Below are 19764 nucleotides of genomic sequence, written 5' to 3'. Positions count from 1 at the left end.
CTTTACTGAAAATTTGGGAACCTGCTGGGGAGGGACTGCATCATTCCATGCACCATCCATTCTCATGGTATGGCTGCCTTGTCTCTTTCCCCTCCCTACCTGGGCTCCTCAGCCCTGGGAAGTTCCAAATTCTTTTCCATCTATTATCAGAGCAGCTTCTCCACTTCCCAAGCCTTGGTCCCAGACAACACTCAAGCCTACAAGGGGCTCACTTCTATGTTTAATTATCAAAGCATTTTTCTAAATAAAGGCAGTTATTTTGCTGAGATAAATTCTGGTCTTGACTTTTAAAGATAATATAAATTTCTTTATCTCACCACACATATTAGTCAGCTATAGTATCAGCAACATTCTAGATATTTTACACATAATGAAAATTATCTATGAAGCATAATTATGCTTGAGAAATACAAGGCAGCATTCTCCAAATCATTTCAGTATTTCAACATCCAAGGTAAAATAATTACAGGACACTTCGTTAAACTTGTTTTAAAAAAGGTTTATTTGTTACAAAAAGTTAAATACTAAAGCTAAAAACATATAAATTCAGGTCAGGCTATATTAAAATACACACATACCCTTCTTTGCAAAATTATTAAAGGTTGAATTAAACAGATGCTTTAAATAAAATAAAGTACTCTTTGAGGACATTTTTGTCAGATTAACTATAACAGTGTAGTGTAGTTTTTAAAATTGCAGTTGAAAAGTTTAGCTGTCTTGGAAGTCAAATTTATCCAATTGTTCAGACTTCTGTTACTACTTAATATGAAGCCACCATGCTGGCTTGGACAGAATTAATTTCATTCATGTTATGGAGAATTCTATATTACAAATCTGGTCCCCTATAATATGAACAGTGAGCAGTCAGAAATATACAAAGGGTTAAATAGGGTAAAGACTTTGGCCAAGAAAGGAAAGGCCTTAGTTCTACCATAGAGTATCTTCTCTAATTAAAATGACTGGGAAATATATGGAAGCAGAAACCAGCACAAAGCACTACCCATCTAGAAATAATCTTTCAGTTAAAAAACAACTCTCAAAACCAGCACTCATTTCTCTAAGATAGGTTATAAGTATTTTACGATTTCTTGTTATATTAAATTGAGTTAAAGGTACTGACAAGTCAATATGCAAATGGGTTTAAACACTAATTTGATTTCTCTTCTGACTAGCTCTGGAGAGCTGTGACATCTGGATGTTGGTGTCACTCACACAGGTAGGTGGTAGAGAACTTTCATAACAAAACTACACACTCCACACCAACTGGGCACCAGCTTCCAAACCCAACTCCACTTCAGGTCAAACAACCTTAAGGAACTACCTATAGTCTAGTTAAACATTAAATAGTATTTTCAAGAAAATACCTTTTTTTGCTTTGCAACTTAATATTTTTCAATTTCCTAGATTAAAAGTTACTGATTTTGAACTTTAAATGCTGTAATTCATATAGGGGTGCGAATATGCTCATGAAAAACAAAAGGCTATTATTCCATTTTAGAAGTCTTAAATGTGAATGAATTTCTAGAAATCTACCACAGTATCTGTTTTTTACAATGCTAATCTTTGTCAAATGGGATTTGCCAGTGGTTGATTAACTCAAGTGATTAAAATACAAAAGACATAAAATCGATTCCAGTAATCATCAATGATACAGCCTAATTAAAATCAGCCCAATTAAAATATTTCCTGGAATATATCTATAGGGAATTTTTAGTGTTTCACTTTGGTTTTTTTTTTTTTTTTGAGATGGAGTTTCGCTCTTGTCACCCAGGCTGGAGTGCAGTGGTGCGATCTCGGCTCACTGCAACTTCCACCTCCCAGGTTCAAGCGATTTTCCTGCCTCAGCTTCCTGAGTAGCTGGGATTACAGGTGTGCGCCACCACATCTGGCTAATTTTGTATTTTTAGTAGAGACGGGGTTTCACTGTTTTGGCCAGGCTGGTTTCGAACTCATGACCTCAAGTTATCCACTTGCCTCAGCCTCCCAAAATGCTGGGATTACAGGCCTGAGCCACCATGCCTGACCTAATGTTTTACTTTGGCAGTGTTGGTATACATACAAGGGCTAACGGTATGGGGTCCCAATATTATACTATAAAACCATTTAATCAAATTTTTGAAAAGTCGGAAAAACTGTGTGTATTCTAAAGTCACTGGAAATTAAAAGAAAAATATATTCCAGTAGTGACTTACAGATGAAAATGATGCTGACAATAGACAGTAATCTGTTTTTCCATGTCTAGGTTTGTGAGTTTCTGATATAATTATTTCTCTATACATGTGATATGAAAGAAAGAAACTATCAGTCTGTCCTCTATCCCAGTCCATTTTCCCTCTATGTAACAAGTCTTTGACTTACATCCTTTCTTTGAACTTACTGTGTAATATTAGAGCACAAGATTCATGCTACTCTTTATCAAATAATCTTGCAGTCCTTGAAAAGAATTCAAAGAATTTAAGCCACTGACGTCCTAATCTTGGTAAATAACACTAAAAACAAATTCTTGAGCCAACTTCGGTAGCAAATTCTCTACAGAGCATCTTTCTCTGTGAACATCTTTATACATGTGTATTAAAGTTAGGCTGGTTAGTCACTCTTACCAACCTCCTGGTCTTACAGAATGATCAAGAAAGTATTTGTTCATCTATGATAGAGCAAGAACTGTGACTGTTTTAAAGCTAAGACAACACAACACATTTCTCCCTTGCCAGCCAAGGTGGCAGTGGAGGCCCTGGGTGGTCCAGACCTCCCCAAAGGCGGGAATCTTCACTATGTTCTCTTCCCTCCGGTGAGCCTCCTTCTCTTCCCTTTATATCAGTGCCTTTTTCTGCTTTCAGAGAGAAAGGTGTTTGAGCAAGAAAACATAGGATATTTCCCACCACGAAACAGACATAATTTTGAGGGCTCAGCACAAAATGAAATCATGGGGCCCTTCTTCAAACATTATTAAGAATTTCCGCTATAGCAGAGCCTTGAACCAAGTGTGGGGTCCTTCTAAGTGTGGGCCCTGTGCTGCTACACAAGTTACACGCTAAGAAAGCCAGCCCTGCCTAGGTTCCCCGCCTACTCAGATTGCCAAAAGGAGATAAAGTGGCTCAATTGGGTTGTCCAGATGAAAAGCAGGTATTTTTTTTATGATGATTCAAACACTGTCATCAATTGAGAACTAAGTGGCATTTCACTTTCCAAATGGCCGGCAAATTTCTATTCCTAAAATCTCATGTTGGACTGATTGGTTTTCCCCTAGATTTCTCATTATACAAATGGTTATGCTGGGTCTTTAAATGCCCCTTATTTTAATAGAGCAATTAATCAGACATGATTAAATTTCTGTATTAATCCTACGTAATTTTTTTTTTTTAATCTAAGCATTTCTTAACTGAGAGGGGTCTAAATATCACTAAAGCAACAGGACATCTTTAAGGGAAAACAGCTGCAAAACAGCTTTGCATTCTAGAGTGAAAGCCTTAGTTTTAGCCTATGGTATATTTTGTTCCCTTTTAAGACCACAGTGGTAGTTTTTTTCCAAAGAGAACTAATAAACATATTAAGCTATATGGTAATTTTTCTAACACCCACATTGGTTTCGGTCAGAAGAATTTTACTGGAACCTGGAGGTATCCCATTCTTCATAATAATAAAAAAGAAATGTAGTGTATAAAAGCTCCAGGTTACATTACTAAGCAACGACATTTCCGGGAGTGAATATACTTCCTGTATTCCGCAAGCTGCTTCAAGTACATATTCGACGGCCATCTGTGCTTTTCAACAAAACTGCGTTCTTCCACTGAAGTTTTAAGAAAAAGACTGTTAACCGAATATGTTTTATTATGGATCAATTAAGATATCAGCTATTGATTTCCTCTTTAATAGATGAGATCCAGCTCTGTGATACATCTCCTACCATTCCCACAAGTTTTCCCAAATAATTTACTACCATTTTGGTTAAATTAGTATCAGGATTTAAGTTATTATGTGACTTACAATTATATATATCTTGTCCACTACTTCGAGTAGTATTTCATTATTTTCCTTTTCTTTTTTTTTTTTTTTTGAGATGGAGTCTCATTCTGTCGCCCAGGCTGGAGTGCAGTGGCGTGATCTCAGCTCACTGCAACCTCTGCCTCCCCAGTTCAAGCAATTCTCCTGCCTCAGCCTCCCGAGTAGTTGGGACTACAGGCGTGTGACACCACGCCCAGCTAATTTTTTGTATTTTTAGTAGAGACGGGGTTTTACCTTGTTGGCCAGGATGGTCTCGATCTCCTGACCTCGTGATCTGCCTGCCTTGGACTCCCAAAGTGCTAGGATTACAGGCATGAGCCACCACGCCTGGCTTCCTTTTCTTTTCCAATAAAGCTTTTGTTTTTCCTGGATATAACGGACTTATTTTTTTTTTCCATTTATAATACTTAGTTTTCTTTTCTTTTCTTTTCTTTTCTTTTCTTTTTTTTTTTTTTCTGAGACGGAGTCTTGCTCTGTCGCCCAGGCTGGAGCGCAGTGGCGCAATCTGGACTCACTGCAAGCTCTGCCTTCCGGGTTCACGCCATTCTCCTGCCTCAGCCTCCCGAGTAGCTGGGACTACAGGCGCCTGTCACCACGCCCGGATAAGTTTTTTTGGTATAATACTTAGTTTTCTTTGTAGCTAACTTAGTCTTCCAAAGTCCTTCAAGTCCTCTCAGTTGTGCTTCCCACCCAGCCAGTCATCAGATAAGCTGTTCTTCCCTGTTGCTGCTGCCCTGCCTGCTTTCTGGACCTGCTTCCTGCCTTGGAGTTGGATCCCTCCATTCTTGAACTCCAGGTCCTTCGCTTTGTTCATTCTCTAGGTTTGGTGAAGCACAACTGTCAGAGGCATTTGAACTAGAGCAACTGCATCTTGAATAGGGGCTGGGGACAATGAGGCTGAAACCTACTGGGCTGCATTCCCAGACAGTTAGGCATTCTAGGTTACAGAATGAGATAGGAGGTCGACTCAAGATATAGATCATAAAGACCTTGCTGGAGGCCAGGCACGATGGCTCATGTCTGTAATCCCACCACTTTGGGAGGCCGAGGCGGGCGGATTATTTGAGGTCAGGAGTTTGACACCAGCCTGGCCAACATGGCAAAACCCCGTCTCTACTAAAAAAAAAAAAGAAAAGAAAAGAAAAATTAGCTGGGTGTGGCGGCACATGCCTATAATCCCAGCTACTGAGGAGGATGAGGCAGGAGAATTACTTGATTCTCCATCTACTGTTTAACCTCATCTATTATAAGTCAGATTAACAGGGTCTTGATTCAGCCTGCAGGACCATACAAACTAGCTGCTCAGCTCTAAGTTTCAAGAGGAAGCAAAGGTGACATGAGACTACTCCCTCAGTAAATATTAAAAACCAGAGAAAAGTTATTAGAGATGAGCTCTGGCAGCCAGCAAAACAAAACAAACAAAACCCCATAACACAGAACACATAATATCGAGCTAAATTAAACTGCGAGAATAATGAATCCATAAATGCCAAGGGTAACATATTCCTGTGCACCGCTGTTTGTGTTCATGAGTCCAGTATATAAAAATCTAATACTTAATGACCTATTTAACTGGGTTCTGATGTATCTGTGCCTGTACTGACATGACATCTTTTCCAGTCTCACTTTTTGATTTCTAAACACCTCTAAAAATGAAAAATTCTCAGTCAACAGAAAACAAGTTGTAGAATTCCAATAATAATTTGAGAACTTTTCAAGCTGAAGATGGACAGTTCTATAAGGAAGCTGTAGAGTGACCGTGACAAGAAACTTTCCCAACTTCAGGTGACCATGTGCAGTGGGCCAGGTGTAAAGCACTGGAGAGAAGTGACTGCGACCCTCTGGAGAGGGCATGCTCCTTTAGGTGGGCCGTCAGCGCCAAGCCACATGTTGCCACTAGGATGATGGGCCTGGGGTAGCCAGATCTTCCAATTTTTCAAAAGAAGCCAAAATATGGTTATTTTTAAATACCAGTACTATATATTTTTAACTGTGGGGTCCCAATAAAACACGTTGGCAGGCTACACCTAAACCATAGATGGCCAGTTAGTAACTATTGATTTAGACAATTAAATTCTCCCTTATCCAAAAGGCGCTTTTTTCCTCTGCCCAAGAGGATGACACCTCATAGCAGGACCCTGGACAGGAAGAGGCACTGCAGAATGAGAGTTCTCATGATTCCCTTTTAATTCCCATCAAAGGAACAGAAGGCAACATCGACACATCGTTTCCTCCTTAGCCTGCCACCTCACATCGCACTGGAAGTCCTGCTTTGCACCATGCCAGGTGTCATAACATACTTTATAGGTAATTGGGTAATACCATATAATGAAAATTCATAACTAAAAGGATTTATAGACCATCCTTCTCCCAAGGTTGTAATAGTACTCCATATATACCATATATCTATACAAGATAGTAAGTAGAAAATAATCTTATTCTTCTCTTACAAATAAGAGTGACCTCAGGTAACATAATGAAACTGGCTCCAGGACCAAAGTGCAATTCATTTAACTTTTAGCAAGCTTCTTAAATAACTATAGAAGCAGCTACTTAAATAACTATAGAAGAATGTTCCTTCTGACAGCAAGCATACACAAGCCTTATCTTTATGAACTGACTGTTTTTTCCTTGCACAAAGTACATAGCTAATAAATAACTGTTGTTTTGTTTTGATGTGATTATGCTTCTCTACTGTACTAATAGTTGACTTATATAAGGAGGCTCCTAATAGACATATAATGTTTGTTGACTGGCTGAATACATCTCCCAAAAACGGATTGTGTGTTCCTGGGTTTTCTTTAACTGCACAAGTAGCTGAATAAAAACAAGAGATTTTTACTCTTTTTTCTTTTAGAGACAGAAGTCTCGTTATGTTGCTCAGGCTGGACTCAAACTCCTGGGTTCAAGTGATCCTTCAGCCTCAGCCTCCCAAGTTGGCTGGGATTACACCGAGGTGGAATCACCATCTTGACCATATGATTTTTATATCTTTTACCAGCAGAGTCTTTTTTACGAAGTAAAATTTTAGGTAGAACTCAAGATATGAAACAGATAAAGTGGAACTACTATGACTGAAGGAGGGAGGGAAGAGTCCAAGAACTGTAAATTTTAGCCTTCTCTTTCCCTTTCCCTTACTCCCTCTCTCTCTCCTTCTCCTCACCCACTCCCTACTTTCTGTCCCCCACCCTAGAAGACACTTCAGTTATCTCCACGGAGATTTATTTGTCCAGATTGTGAAACTCCTTGATCAGGTAATCTTTCACTTCCTTTTCTTTTTAGCTCAAATTTTCCTTGAGTCTATGCTAGATAATAACATGAGCAAACCACTGCATCTAAACTGTCTATTCTGACAACTATTATATTTTCATTTTTTTCTTTTTATGCAGTACTCAGTAGTTCACACTTTGGTTTTAATTTTTATAATTTACCTTAGAAAGCATATTACATACACTCCCAGTAAGTTTCACAACATTTTTTATATATGAAAAACTGTTATTCCAAAGTAATATAAGGGACTCCCATATAGGTATACTCAGTAAATACAGATATCCAGTACAATAAAGCTAAATATAATATAGTTAACAAGAGTTAAATTCCTTTATAAAAAATTTTTAAATCTGTACTGTTTAAACTTTGCTGCTGACTTAGGTAGTTAGAACTAAGATATCACTTTTCACAACCAAATGTCACCTGAGGACACATTTTGTCACCTTATCTATTTCAGGGAAAGAAAATGCATTTAAAAACGGATGGAGCTATAAAATAATCATTAGAAAACTTCTTGTGTAACACAGGTTAAGGCACTTATGTAACACAGGTGACTATAAATTGTTTCCTCAATTACCACACTGCATAATTTACAAGAAATTTATTACATTGACTATTCTTATTTTGCTAAAAGTACTACTTCTACAACTTATGTCTCAAATCTAAGAACAAAGAACATAAAGTTTTCTTTTCAAAACAGAAATTAGCAATCTACCTGAAAGATCCTGAAATTCAGGCTTTTGACTGAAGATGAGGTAGTTAGTAGCAATGAAATGAAGTAGCCAGGTTGAAAGGCAATCAGAGTGGTGAAACTGCAAGAAAAATGAAAAGTGAAATAATATTGCACATAATGGCCACTGGTATGATAAGATCAAGAGAACGGCCTGGGAGCAATCACGGAGAGCCCATATTCATGTTTAATGTGCCTTTACCTGATGCAGCTTTCAGTATACTGTGACAGCAGACAGGATGAGGGAGCACTATTAGCAAATAACGTTAAAAGTACATTCTCGGAAGAAGCCAGGCCAACAGCGAATAACAATCTACGGCTGCCGGAGTGGCCAAACGTCTTTAAGCAATGCATGGCTGCATCTGAGGTTCTTGAAGATTTAATTTGAGCTTTTAATCTGAAGCCACGGACTTCAATAACTGCACCTGTATCTGTGTAGTAGATGATGGTGAGCAATGTTAAAACAAGTTCACCTGAGGAGCAAGCCAAAAAATATTTTGAGGAGGAAACACCATCGGCCGAAGGCATGGGTTTCAATGTGTAAATGTTTCTAAGAGAAAGCTGTGGCTAAATATTTGCTTTTAATGAGATGTACAGTAAACTGAGCAGGATTTCCAGCTCCATTCTCCTCATTCTGAGTTCCAATAGCTGCTAATGGAGGGAAAACTCCAAGCAAGCAGGCCACTGACATCATCACCTTGGTGCCCATCCAGTGACACTCACTGATCCATCCAACCACCAATGCAGATGACAGTAACTTGCTGGCAGGCAACTTTGGCACATGAGTATAGAACTCTTTTTTTTATTATTATTATTGTGGTACAATATGTGTAACATAAAATTTACCATTTTAACAATCCTTAAGTGTACAGTTAAATGTCACTAATAAGTGCATACACATGGTGGGGCAACCCAACACCACTATCCATTTCCAGGCCTTTTCTATCACCCCAAACTGAAACTCTGTACCATTAAACAATCTGTTTTCTCCCTATCCCTATCAGATCCTAGCACCCACTGTTTTACTTTCTGTCTCTATGAATTTCACTATTCTAGGTACCTCATATAAGTGAAATTCTAAAATATTTGTCCTTTTATGTTTGGCTCATTTAGGGTAATATTTTCCAAGTTTCATCCATGTTGTAGCAGATATCAAAATTTCACTCCTTCTTAAGGCTGAATAATATCCCATTGTACATATATACCACATTTTGTTTATCTCTTCACCTGTCAATGGACATTTGTGTTGTTTCCACCTTTTGGCTAAGTATAGCTCTTCTAAGGAGATGCAAAAATATTAAATAAGCAACAAGTAATGCTAAATTGAAGAAAGATTAGTAATCTCTAAACCTTAATAAAAAAACTCAAGGATATGCTTTTTTTTTTTTTTAAAGCTGTATAGTGTGAGAGTATTTAAACACAAATTCACAGGTCCCTCTTATATTCATTATATAAAATCAATTTTTGAACTGGAAATAAATTTATAGTTTATCTAATCCCACATAACATTTTAACAGTTTTTTTCCTCCCCTTATCTTTTAGCAGATGAATGTGTGCAATCTCAAGGGAAAAGAATAAGAACCTTCAGCTTTTTAGAGAAGCCACCACTACTGTTACGTGATTAACCCAGAGCAGATAACAAAACACCAGGAGGTTAGGACATTGCCTTAAGGGCTGTGACTGAGAAGGAAAAGGGAGGTCACAGAAATAAACAGCTGGCTACAAAGCATGCTTAAAAATGAAGAATTTTATTTTTGACCAAGATTTAAGATATTATCCAAAATATCTTAAATACAGTAGGATGACACATCTGAATAAGCTTTCCGCTTCCAGGAATGAAAGAACTGAGGAATGAGGAATTGGTAGCACATGTGGGGGTTTGGGAAGTAGATTTCAACAGAGCAGTTCTAGCTAATGTACAGACCTGGCCCAGATTCATAGTCTAGGGACTCTGTAACAGGAATGGAACATGTCTCACTGTAAAAACTAGGTTTTAGAAGGATATGTGTTGACGTAAGAAAATGGGTTCAAACTGAAATAAGCAACAGAATTTTTAAAAAGGCATTAAAAAACCATAAACCAAATGCAATAGAACTTAAGAGCTACAAGAAGAACGTGGAGAAAATACCCATAAACTCACAAGAAAGTACCTGGAAACTCTCAGAAATACAACTTGTGCCTCAGATAGCCAAATATTAACATATAGATTATAAATAAGAAGATGCATTAAAATTTTTAATACAAGAATAAATACAACTTCATAGGAATCACCAAAGTTTGAACAGATAGGGTTTAAACAGGAGTAGAGATACGGAATCTCCACCTCAACTCTTGTATTTTAAGAGTCCTCCTTGATGGAAACCTGAAGGTAAATCATGGTAAAGAACTGAGAGAGGTTAGGGGAAAATGGACAGAGAAGTGAGAGAATACCCACACTGCTCATCTATCTAAGAAAGTATGAATGATGTTTCCTGACACACAGTACAAAACTGGCAGAGTGTTCAGAAATTTTGATTATTTGGAGAGCTACTGGGAGTCTAATTCTGCCAGAAGACAATTTCACTCCTAAAAGTCAGAGAAATGGCAAGGCAAAAGTTAACCAAATTCTGACCAACAGGGTGAACTGACTGGTGAAGTGAAATCTCAAACTAGGAACTTCAAAGAAAACTTGGGAAGAAAACTTCTGTTATCTGGAATTCACAATTGCCAAATTAGGAACCACCAGGAAAAGAATACAGGAAAACTGGTAAATTTAGGCTTAATCTTAGAAAATAAAAAGTCTTCAGAAACAAAATTCAAAATGAGCTTGTATCTTAGATTGTTTGAAATTCAAGGGGAAAAGATAAGGATAATCACAGAGTCAGAAACCAGAGAATCAGGGAAAACAAGTCAAGAATTTCTGACAGTGCAATCAAAAATGATTCTGATGAGGAACCAAGTGTAGGGGGGCAGTGAGGGGAGGCACCTAAAGAAATCAATGTGACCACACGGGAAGTTCTCTTATACATAAACAATTTAAGAAGATACTAAAAGATAAGGAAAAAGAAACTTGTGTCCAATTTTTTAAAAAGTATGAACAACTTGTTAGAATAGTATGAAAATGATACATCAAAAATGAACTGAGATTGTGAAACTACTAGAAAGAATTTTAAAAATTGTAAACTAAATTTAGAGGGGAGCTATTTATCATGAGATGAATGTAAACGTTTTACAAAAAGAGATCAGTGTTACTCAATTTTTTTTTTTTTTTGAGACGGAGTCTCACTCTGTCACCCAGGCTGGAGTGCAGTGGCACGATCTCGGCTCACTGCAAGCTCCGCCTCCAGGGTTCACGCCATTCTCCTGCCTCAGCCTCCCAAGTAGCTGGGACTACAGGCACCCGCCACTATACCCAGCTAATTTTTTTTTGTATTTTTAGTAGAGACTGGGCTTCACTGTGTTAGCCAGGATGGTCTCGATCTCCTGACCTCGTGATCCGCCAGCCTCGGCCTCCCAAAGTGCTGGGATTCCAGGCGTAAGCCACCACGCCTGGCCCTACTCAATTTTTAAATTTGTTTTTAGCCCTAATTAAATACATGTGATCGTAAGACTTGATTATGAGAGAAATGAAGTCCAAAATAGTTAAGGAGATAGTAGGAGAAGACCTAGATGCTTCAAATAAATTCCCTTCTATAAACAGAAGTGTTGATGAATGAATTCGTTTCAGCTTGGAGGCAAGCATTCAGCTGTCACAGATCTGGAATTTGCCCCATCATGTGGCTCCATTTTAGCAATGTGGATGGAGATAAAAGTTGTCATGCTTTTGTAACCCTGGACGTCAAAGTTGATAGGTATAGACATGTTGGATGCCAGATAATAGTTCAAGAAGTACTGACACTCTGTAGTGATTGAACAAATATATTCCTGTGAAAAAAACCTAGAGGGCTCGGCTTACCACAAGTTGAGTACACAAGAGTGTGCCATAACTACCACAAGTGCTGAAACTGTCTCGGGCAGTGGATGGAATGGCAGAATGGCCAACGGTAGGATGGCCCATCTGAATAAGCTTTCTGCTTCCAGGAATGAAAGAAAGTGGGAATAAGGATTTGGCAGGTTTTTGACTGTGAGCACATCTGGGGGTTTGGGAAGTAGATTTCAACACAGTAGTCCTAGTTTATTTACAGACCTGGCTCTGATTCATAATTTAGGGCCTCTGTAACTGCAGTTACTTAAAATTAACTTAATTATGTAACTCCCCCACCCCCGTTCTCTAAAATCAGTAATGATATAATTATTGAAAACAAAAGACTCCGAGCTTACAAGAGGCCCAGAAGAAGCATGTACACATACGGCAGTGATTGCTAATAAGGTGAGACATGAAAACAAAAGGCATTCTGCAAGGATAAATGAGGCACACCAATATCTCCTACATACAACTGAAACTTCAAAACATGTTCATTATATGGATGAAAAAATGAAGAAGTAAATTAGTTTAGCTTAACCATCGCTATCAGTATATATGGACCAATTCTGTCATTTCCCTTTTAGGAACCTGAAGATGTGATTGTTTGGGGAAATTCAACATAAATTCTATTTCCTACAATGCCTATGTGACATAGTATAGCACCACATTCAAATGACTCTACTAAGGGCCACTATTTAGTTAAAAAAATTCCGTATCTGGACATTTTGCCTCCTTATAAAAGGGACTGCACACAAACCCTAACGCTTCAAAATTATCTAGCCAGATAAACTGTTGTGAAGGCACTTTAGCCTCATTAGCCAAACTTCCAAACTAAGACTAGTATTAACGTATGTTAAAAAATGATAAATTTTAAAATAGTATAATTTGAAAAATATTTTATAAAAAACTAGGCTATCAGATACACAGAGTCAATTACCTTGGCCTTTTTAAGCAGGTCAACTATATCAAGGTTCATGGATGCCAGTTCCCTGCTTGGCATGCTCTGCAGCTGGGTAATGATGAACAGCTCACAGATGTGCTGCAGTCTGGACACTTGGTACATCTCGGCACAGATCAGGAGACACATGGCCTGGAATATGCCAGCTGATGAGAAAAGGGACATGAGAGAAAGTGGATGATGAAACCATTTCTTTAATGATCTAAACACCCCCCACCAACAAAAAACAACAATTAAAAAAACATGCTGACCGTAGCATCCACCATAGAATAGAATGGTTAGGAAAAGCCTCGAGGGAGTCAGCATTCTGCACTTTTATTCCATTTTATCTTTTTTTTCTTTCCTTTCTTCTTCTTCTTTTTTTTTTTTTTTTTTTTTTTTGTAGAGACAGGTCTCACTATGTTGCCCAGGCTGGTCTTGAACTCCTGAGCTCAAATGATCCTCCTACTTTGGCCTCCCAAAGTGCTGGGATAACAGATGTGAGCCATCACACCCGGCCTATTATTCCATTTTAAAAAGAAGGGCCGGCGCAGTGGCTCACACCTGTAATCCCAGCACTTGGGGAGGCCGAGGTGGGCGGATCACGAGGTCAAGAAATCAAGTCCATCCTGGCGGACATGGTGAAACCTCATCTCTACTAAAAATAAAAAAAAATTAGCCAGGTGTGGTGGCGGGCGCCTGTAGTCCCAGCTACTGGGGAGGCTGAGGCAGGAAAATCACTAAAACCTGGGAGGCGAAGGTTGCAGTGAGCGGAGATCATGCCACTGCACTGCAGCCTGGGCAATAGAGCAATACTCCATCTCAAAAAAATAAAAATAAAAATAAAATAAAATAAAAATAAATAAATAAAATAAAAAAGTAAAAATAAAAAGAATCCAAGCCTTCATACTCAGAAGTGAATCTATTTTTTTTTAATTCTTCAGAAAAGGTGATTCTATAATTGCCCTTAAAAATTAATTCCAGGACTATCTGGTAAATCTTTCCGTTAGCTAAACTAGATCCTTGCCATTTTTTTTTCTTGACATTAGTCTTCAGGTTGGTTGGTTGGTTTGTTGTTTTGTTTTTATTATGATAAAATAAACATAACATGAAATTTACCATTTTAACCTTTTTTTTTTTTTTTTTTTTTTTTTGAGATGGAGTCTCACTCTGTCGTCCAGGCTGGAATGCAGTGGTGCGATCTTGGCTCACTGCAAGCTCCTCCTCCTGGGTTCACGCCATTCTCCTGCCTCAGCCTCCTGAGGAGCTGGGAGCACAGGCGCCCACCACCACGCCCGGCTAATTTTTTTTGTATTTTTTGTAAAGACGGGGTTTCACCGTGTTAGCCAGGATGGTCTCGATCTCCTGACCTTGTGATCCACCTGCCTCGGCCTTCCAAAGTGCTGGGATTACAGGCATGAGCCGCCACATCCGGCCCATTTTAACCACTTTTAAGTATATGATTCATTGGCATGAAGTACATTCACACTGCTGTGCAGTCATCACCACCACCATCTCCAGAACATGTTTCTTCTTCCCAAACTGAAACTCTGTACCCAATAAACACTAACTCCCTGTTTCCCCCTTTCCCCAGCCCCTGGCAACCACCCAATTTGGCTGGGGGTTTTTTCAATACTTCCCTAGAAATCTGGTTTTTCATGTAATTCTCGTTCTTATCCCTCCTTACATTCTTACATTCTTTTGTAGCTATGGAACCAAGAACACTGTGTATGGTGAATATTTAACATAATAACATTACCTGTCTTCTGTGATCTTCCCAATGCACAGATTCCAGTATCTGGCTTAACTTTTTGATTATTCATTTTGACTCATTTTTCCCTAACACACTTTTGCCAATTTTTAAAAATCCTATCATTATTACTGCTTTCCTCTGTAATATTTTCTAATTAGCAAGGTAAAACTTAATATTAGCAGCTTCAATTACTTGAGTGAGAGGATGACTGAAAATCAAATTTTCCTATTACTCCAAATCTGGTCAATTTGTAAATTTAATATACAGATTTGCCAACAATGAAATAATAAACAATAAGCTTTATTTCCAAAAAGAACAAATGCTTTCATTTTTATTAGGCAAAAATACTAAGTCTTTTTTTGAGACGGAGTCTCACTCGGTCACCCAAGCTTGAGTGTGGTGGCGCCATCTTGGCTCACTGCAACCTCTGCCTCACAGGTTCAAGCGATTCTCCTGCCTCTGCCTCCCGTGTAGCTGGGATTACAGGCACACGTCACCATGCCCAGCTAATTTTTGTATTTTTAGTAGAGACGGGGTTTCACCATGTTGGTCAGGCTGTTTTTGAACTGACTTCAGGTGATCTGCTCACCTCAGCCTTCCAAAGTGCTCAGATTACAGGCATGAGCTACGGCACCTGGCCGTAAGTCAGTCTTTAACACTGACAGAAACAACTGCAACTGGCTCCAAAATACTCTACAGAAAGCTGCAAGCCCAGAATTAATTTAATCAACACAAATACATTTGCTTCTTTTTGAACTTCTAAAATCTTTCACTAGAGGGCTCATGACTTGTTTAAAACTTATTTCAATACCCAGTGTAAGAAACCTTTCCATTCTAAAAATTAAAGCAGTGAATCTGAAGAGAGGTCTGGCTTGAAATGTGTGTTTGCTTTTTATGTTTATTAGGGTGCCTGACCAGGTTCTCTAATCAAGGTCTCAGGCTCCTGAACTGAGCTCCACGGGGCCGAATCTAGTTGTGCTTGTGGTGGGAGCCATCTGGTGGCCAAAGGCTGAAGACTACTCACAGAGGGCTTCCCTGCCAGCATCCCAAGCAAGGCTCCAGGCCTGTAGAAAAAATTTTGCTATTTCTTCAAGTGCCTCCAGCTAGAAGAACCCTGCTGGATCTGTTCCAACCTAGAGCTGTCACAGATGTTTGGTTCCTGGTCAAAGATAGTCCTTGGTCAGTGAATTTGGAAATGAATCCTACAGTCCACTGGGTATTCTAAACATCTCAAGAAAAGTTTTCAGAGAAGTCAGTTTGAGGAGTTTCTGACTTTAGCAGAAGTCAGAAGGAGGCCTTTACAAATCCCACATCCTCTGGGCAGAAGGAAGACCAAAAAAGTCTCAGAATATTGAAAGTCCTTAAAAGTGCCCCAATCAGAAGTCACAGACATCAAAGCAGTTGCGCAACCCTCCTCTTCTTGTGGAAGAGACAGCGCTCCAAGTAACAATCTGCCCCGATCTCTAGAATTACGGTAGCCATGGGTACCACAAGACACCTCCATTTCTAGTTGCCTACAGTGATCCCCATGCTGTAGGTGCTGGCTGGGACATGTGAACTTGTGCCGGCGTCGGAGACCCATAAAAGGCACCCAATCACTGCACTTCCACTTGAACTGAATGAAAATTCATTGTTGTTCCAGCACCACCTCTAATTGCTTAGTACATTCCGTGATGTCAACTAATAAATCTTAAATGAAAATAGATTCCACAGAGTGCAATTTAACAAAATGGGTGGCAAGGAAAGAAAGAATTCTGAGATACTATCAACATTTGTATTGCTAACCTGGGCAGCAGGAGTCTGTGTACAGGTATTCTAAAAATGACAAGAAAGTCTCTTTGGAAACACCATAAACGGGAATCAGGACACTCTTTGCTTCCATGTAATTACCATTAAACATGGCTGCCATCACTTCACAACGGGCCACCAGGATGGCCCTGTGGGCTGGCACTGTCGTACCTGAAAGGTTCAAAAGGGAAACAAGAAACAAGTGAGATAAACCTGCAGGGTTATTCCAGCAATTTTCCTTCTAATTAGACTACCACATTAGGGACAGCTAGGCTGATATGCAGAATCTGAATTTGGGAGTGATAACTACCATTAATCCAGAAACTTCTTAATTTTAAAGGGAGCAATAAAGAAAGTTCAGATGTTGACCTTGAAACCAACAATTTGCAAGTCAAGACAACAATTTGTTACTTAGTTTGTATTTCCAGAAATAGAAACACTGAAATGAAGTATTTTGCTTCATATTTTTATAATGAAACATCAATCCTTTCCAATTGGCTTGAAATATTAATAATACTACCCGTGCCCATGTGCCTCCCAAGAAAACAACCCCATTACCCTTCTGGGCCTGACTCACAGAACCATCTTGGCCATGCTTCCCCTTATCTGAAACAGGAAACTGTAAGAAGTAAACCATAAGCTGTCCGTACACCACAGTAGGAATAGCAAGAGGATCTCTTGTGGAGCCAAGGAGAGCATTTCAGACTTAATGAAAATCTGGAAGAGGATGACCTTAATCCCTGCAGTCTCCCCAGCACACTACTTCCTCAGGCAACCATTCTGTCTCACCTGAACAATGCCTGCTGCTGGGAGAGCCAGTGCTACGTTGAATTTTGAGGGCTCTCTCAGCCCATACTGCTCACTGAACTCACCGAACTGAATTAACTCTCTAGGAAAAGCTTGCTAGGCTCTCTAGCTACTGCTGCACCACACAAAGGCAGCGCTGGATAGGGCCGTGAGTGGCCAGGGCTCTCTACTTCCACCACCTTAGAAAACCACGAATACACACTGCCAGCCTTCAGTTCAGCCTGGATCACTTCAACAGATTATTACCGAGAATCAGCATGTGCCAATCATTGCATTTGGAATTGAAGACACAAAGAGGAGGAAGACAAAGCTACCTCTGCTTTGGAGCAGTTTTTACTTTCGTAGAAGACACCACAGCCAGTGTGAGTGACAAAGCTGTCGCATTCCAGGAAGTAACTCTCCAACCAAACCAAGCCACTCAGCCCTGCCCAAGAGTTTACCCACACATCTCTAAAATCTCATACTCATCAGGGATATATAGTCTTCTCTAAAGCATTTACAATTATTGGGTTCTTCATCCCTTTTAAATCCAAGCACAACATCTCCTGTCTCAGGAAAGAAGAAAAGAGTTACATCTAAGCCCAGTGGCTTTTTCCAAAGCCAATAATCACTCAGGATCTATAGGCAACACCTGGCACTGCCAGCTCTGAGCCTACTGCTCGGCACTGCCATTTGCACAGCCACACCTACCTGAGGAGCAGGGAAGTAACTTGGGAAGCCCTCCCACCCAGTCAACACTCACCTCCTGGCAGGCACACTCCCCTCCTCGCCTCACTGGGACAGTGTCCCTCCACCGGGAAGGACCAGTTTCCATAATTAAAGCAAGCTGGCTGTATTTGTATACAGCAGTTAATAAAGAATACAAACAGGTCATGCCATTTGACTTGTAATTGTAAGGTTTTAAAATGTTAAAGATAAATAGGGCACTATATTTTTAAAAATTAGAAGCATGACTTAAATAAACTGGATGATCTATCACTTGGGTTAAGCACAGGGATTTAAGATCTACCAAAAAATACCAAGTAGATAGTTGATGGGGGTAGAATTTGATAAGTAACCTTGAAATTTTAACAGAAATTGTTGATAATGTGGTTATAACAGAGTTGCAAAACCCAGCAACAAAACACTCAGTACAGTTAGCTCTCCGAATCCATGGGTTCCACATCCACAGATCGAACCAACAGAGAGTGGAAAATATTCAGAAAAAAAAAAAAACCCTGCAACTGTATTGAACATATACAAAGTTTTTAAAAAATTGTCATTATTCCCTAAACAATACAGTATAACAACTATTTATATAACATTTACATTGTATTAGGTATTGTAAGTAATCTAGAGATGATTTTCAGTATGCAGGAGGATACTCATAGGTTACATGCAAATACTAAGCCATTTAATATCACGAACTTGAGCGTAGCGGATCTGGGTATCTGCAGGAGGTCCTTGGAACCAATCTCCTATGGACATTAAGGAACAACTGTACTTTTTTTTTTTTTTGAGATAGAGTCTTGCTTTGTCGTCCAGGCTGGAGTACGGTAGCACAGTCTCACTCACCACAACCTCCGCCTCCCAGGTTCAAATGATTCTCGTGCCTCAGCCTCCCGAGTAGCTGAGATTAGAGGCATGCGCTACCATGCCTGGCTAACTTTTTTGGTATTTTTACTAGGGACAGGGTTTTGCTGTGTTGGCCAGGCTGGTCTTGAACTCCTGGCTTCACGTGATGCTCCCACCTCAGCCTCTCAAAGTGCCGGCATTACAGGCGTGAGCCACTGCACCCAGCCAACTGTACCTTAAAGCATTTTTAAGCCTATTTCAAGGTTGGAATTTAGTTTGGAAAACCATTACGCTTCCTGTTAAGAAAACATCAACTTCAGTTTTTCACCTCTTTAAACTACTGTTTTGATGTTATAAATTGTTCTGTTGTGAAACTGTAATACAATACCTTAGTATGGTTAGATCTTTCAACACTGTATATAAAAATATGCTGAAGGAACATAATGCGGTTTATGGTTTACGTACTAACTGGCAATAGGATACAGGTAAAGAAATTACTTAAGGAAATGGAAGATAGCATTTTCTAGTTAAAAGATAATCATGTTCCTTGAAACTGTCAAGGCCAAACTATCTTTTCTTTGTAGTATTCATTTGATGTTACAATTTTAAGAATTTTTTTCTAAGGAAAAGAACTACAAGAGTGAAACAAAAATGAAAAGCCCAAGTTTTCTAGTCACTTTACATAGATTATCAAGAATCTTTGACTGTTTACTAAAATAAAATACATTTGTCACACTTTCTTCATACTATTTTCCAGGTTTCAAAAGTGAAATTTTTAGAACTGTTTTTGGTTTCATTCCTAAAAAAGGATACCTACCTAGCTCAAGAGAGATCCAAAATATGTACTAGCTAAGTAAACCAGAAGGGAATGTAATTTTCTAAAGAACTCTTCATGTGACAGACTCATATCAAAAGGACATCCGTACCTCTCTAAATATTTACCAAGACTGACTTTAGAACTGCTATAGTAATTTTTTTTT

The 19764-nt window shown here is 39.1% G+C and overlaps 1 protein-coding gene across 3 annotated transcripts in view, besides 1 other annotated feature; it reads right to left on the bottom strand.

Moving 5' to 3' along the window:
• Positions 1 to 484: 484 nt before the first annotated feature.
• RHOBTB3 (Rho related BTB domain containing 3) overlaps positions 485 to 19764 on the bottom strand; it is a 78738-nt gene continuing 59458 nt past the window's right edge. For all 3 annotated transcript variants that reach the window (XM_017009237.2, NM_014899.4, XM_011543279.3), the window contains 4 exons: positions 16421 to 16594; positions 12883 to 13049; positions 7988 to 8084; positions 485 to 3787 (listed from right to left, as the gene is read on the bottom strand). In XM_017009237.2, the coding sequence (XP_016864726.1) occupies positions 3672 to 3787; positions 7988 to 8084; positions 12883 to 13049; positions 16421 to 16594 (554 nt within the window). In that variant the 3' untranslated portion in view covers positions 485 to 3671. The remainder of the gene's footprint in view (positions 3788 to 7987; positions 8085 to 12882; positions 13050 to 16420; positions 16595 to 19764) is intronic.
• Positions 15552 to 15601: an enhancer, noted in NCBI's record as "active region_22802". NCBI's record gives its function as "activates an Ori minimal core promoter by ATAC-STARR-seq in GM12878 lymphoblastoid cells {active_cell/tissue: GM12878}" and the evidence as "EXISTENCE:reporter gene assay evidence [ECO:0000049][PMID:35858748]".

The sequence above is a fragment of the Homo sapiens genome, chromosome 5 (assembly GCF_000001405.40).
Source record: "Homo sapiens chromosome 5, GRCh38.p14 Primary Assembly".
NCBI classification, from domain to species: domain Eukaryota; kingdom Metazoa; phylum Chordata; class Mammalia; order Primates; family Hominidae; genus Homo; species Homo sapiens.
The sequence above is the reverse complement of the archived record's forward strand: the minus strand, read 5'-3'. Positions and strand labels throughout refer to the sequence as shown.